The following is a 3192-nucleotide window of genomic DNA, read 5'->3' as shown; positions in this document are numbered from 1 at the left end:
CAGTTGCATGGTATTCCACTAGTGGAAGTAAGACAACTTATCGAATCAGTCCCCTGAATCATCTGATTTTTAAAATATGAAGATATAATTAAATAGAATTTTGAAATGTCAGTGGATAAAGAATACACACACAACTCACATGTACATCTGGTTTGAAATATTTTGGCTTATGGAATGATCAGAGAAAAGAAATTTGTTACTTATAGGCTCCAAGATAATAATTTATAAAAGAAATCCTGTAAAAACTAATTTTGAATCAAAATGCATAGCAGTTATAGAAAAGAAGAAAATCAATGTGCATAGAGCCATTATGTTCTAATATTTTAAACAAGGATATGTTTCTTATTAGAGTTTATTAAAGCTCGAATTATGTAATGGTGGCTATTCTGTAACTTTACGTTTAAAAGTAAAATAACTAAAGCCTTTTGTGTTAGCAAATTAATTTTTTGAAATTTTATTCATTTATCCTGGGTTGATGTCAAGATTTCAAAAACAAAAGCAACATACTTTCATTGATTGTAGCAAAGCAGAAACATAATTAAATATCAGATTAAAGCTCAAACCATGAAAAATGATCTAATGTTTTCCTTTCACATTTATTAGGAAAACAATCAAAACCCTTTTCTAATATTAAAGTTATTTTTTGAAGTCTTACTCAAAGGAATCCTAGATTAATCATAGATTTAAAAATCCGCCCATTCGTGCCTGGGGTTGAGGTCCTCCCTCGCCTAGGCAGAGGTGGGAGCTTATTGGTGCTGCTGCGGCCCTGCTTCCTCCTCCCCGTTTCTATGCTCCTGGGACCATGTCTGCACTGGTGGGTGCTAGAGCCAGGAGAGACTTTTGAGATAATGTACAATCTCCTCATTTTACATATGAAGAAACTGGGGCTTAGGGAAGAAAATGAAGTTGTCCAGGTCACTCAACTAGTGGTAATGCCAGGACCAAGGTGAAGATGCCTGGAGGTGTCAGGGCTGTGGGGACCACATAAAGCACCTCAAGTGAGCATGTGCACAACTTCAGTAAACACACTGTGCATGCAGCCCCTCCCAAGTGTTAGCAGCCCACTGCGCATGCGGACAGCCCACCCCAAGGGACGAATCAGGGGAGACAAGATGCAGACCCCAGAAGAATGCCAACATGTAAAACCCCAAGTCAAAGGTCAAACTGCACACTTGATCTCTGAAGTCTCCTGCTTGGCCCTCTTCCAAGTGTGCTTTACTTCCTTTCATTCCTGCTCTAAAGCTTTTTAATAAACTTTCATTCCTGCTCTGAAACTTGCCTTGGTCTCTCACTCTCTCTTATGCCCCTCAGTCGAATTCTTTCTTCTGAGGAGGAAGAATTGAGGTTGCTGCAGACCCATGCAGATTTGCTGCTGCTAATAGGGAGTTCAAGTACCATCCAGAATGCTTTGCCTGTGTGAGCTATAAGGTGACCATTGAGGATGGGGATGCATACGCCCTGGTGCTGCGTGTCACCCTATACTGTGGAAAGTGCCACAAATGAGGTGGTGCTGGCACCCATATTTGAGATACTCTCCACAGAGTCCATTCAGGACCAGCTGCCCTACTCTGTCATGCTCATGTCCATGCTGGCCATCACAGAGGGCAGGCGGAGCTTCTCCGTGTCCGTGGAGAATGCCTGCTCCAACTATGTTACCACCGTGCAAGTAAAAGAGGTCAACCAGATGCACATCAGTCCCAACAGCTGCAATGCCATCCACCCCAGGGACCACATCCTGGAGATCAGTGGAACCCCCACCCACACACTCCAAGTAGAGGAGTTGGAGGATGCAATTAGCCAGATGAGCCAGACACTTCTGCTGTTGATTGAACATGACCCTGTCTCCCGGTCCCCAGCCCAGCTGCGGCTGGATGCCTGGCTCTCTCCCCACACACAGAATGCTGGACACCCTCACGCCCTCAGCACCCTGGACACCAAGGATAATCTGGAGGGGACACTGAGAAGATGCTCCCTAAGACTCAGTAACAGCATCTCCAAGTCCCCTAGCCCTAGCTCTCCAAAGGAGCCCCTGCTGCTCAGCCGTGACATCAGCTGCTGGGAATCCCTTTGTTGTTCCAGCACTTACTCAAAGCAGAACTTCCGGTCCTGTGACCTGATCCACGGGGAGGTCCTGGGGAAGGGCTTCTTTGGGCAGGCTATCAAAGTGACACACAAAGCCACAGGCAAAGTGTTGGTCATGAAGGAATTAATGCGATGTGATGAGGAGAACCAGAAGACTTTTCTGACTGAAGTGAAAGTGACGTGAAGCCTGGACCACCCCAATGTGCTCAAGTTCATTGGCGTGCTGTACAAGGACAAGAAGCTGAACCTGCTGAGAGGACATTGAGGGGGGCATGCTGAAGGACCTTCTGCAAAGTGTGGACCCATTCCCCTGGCAGCAGGAAGTCAGCTTGGCCAAAGGCATTGCCTCCAGAATGGCCACCACCAAGAAATGTACTTTGCACAAGAACAACTTCAAGAAGTGCTACATGGTGGTGGGAAACCTCTACTGGATGATACCTGAGATGCTGAATGGAAAGAGCTATGACGAAATGTGGATGTATTCTCTTTTGGGATCGTTCTCTGTGAGACCATTGGGCAGGTGTATGCAGATCCCGATTTCCTTCCCCAAACACTGGACTTTGGCCTCAGCATGATGCTTTTCTGGGAGAAGTCTGTCCCCACAGACTGCCCTCCAACCTTCTTCCCCCTGGCCATGATCTACTGCAGACTGGAGCCCGAGAGCAGACTGGCATTCTCAAAACTGGAGGACTCTCTGTACCTGGGGGAGCTGGGCATCCCGCCGCCTGTAGGGCTGGAGGAGTTGGACCACACTGTGAGCATGCAGTACGGCCTGATCCAAGACTCACCCCACTAGCCCTGGCCCAGCCCCCTGCAGGGGGGTGTTCCACAGCCAGCATTGCTCCTCTGTTCTCCATCCCTGCTGTGAGCAGGGTTTTTCGGGCTTCCCGTGGATTGGCAGCTTGTTTAGAAGCAGAACAAGCCGGCAGGGTGCGGTGGCTCACGCCTGTAAGCCATCACTTTGGGAGGCCGAGGCAGGCGGATCACCTGAGTTCAGGTGTTGGGGACCACCCTGACCAATATGGAGAAACCCCATCTCTACTAGAAATACAAAAAAATAGCTGGGTGTGGCGGCACATGCCTGTAATCCCAGCTACTCAGGAGGCTGAA

General features: G+C 47.7%; 1 pseudogene, besides 2 other annotated features; it reads left to right on the top strand.

Moving 5' to 3' along the window:
• Positions 1382-2749, top strand: LIMK2P1 (LIMK2 pseudogene 1; annotated as a pseudogene).
• Positions 1843-2344: an enhancer, noted in NCBI's record as "H3K4me1 hESC enhancer chrX:11722771-11723272 (GRCh37/hg19 assembly coordinates)". NCBI's record gives its function as "activates a minimal SCP1, AML or CMV promoter by ChIP-STARR-seq in naive H9 embryonic stem cells {active_cell/tissue: H9 hESC(naive)}" and the evidence as "EXISTENCE:reporter gene assay evidence [ECO:0000049][PMID:30033119]".
• Positions 2361-2860: an enhancer, noted in NCBI's record as "H3K4me1 hESC enhancer chrX:11722255-11722754 (GRCh37/hg19 assembly coordinates)". NCBI's record gives its function as "activates a minimal SCP1, AML or CMV promoter by ChIP-STARR-seq in naive H9 embryonic stem cells {active_cell/tissue: H9 hESC(naive)}" and the evidence as "EXISTENCE:reporter gene assay evidence [ECO:0000049][PMID:30033119]".

This window comes from Homo sapiens, chromosome X (assembly GCF_000001405.40).
Source record: "Homo sapiens chromosome X, GRCh38.p14 Primary Assembly".
Lineage (NCBI taxonomy): Eukaryota > Metazoa > Chordata > Mammalia > Primates > Hominidae > Homo > Homo sapiens.
This window is presented reverse-complemented; position numbering and strand designations above follow the sequence as displayed.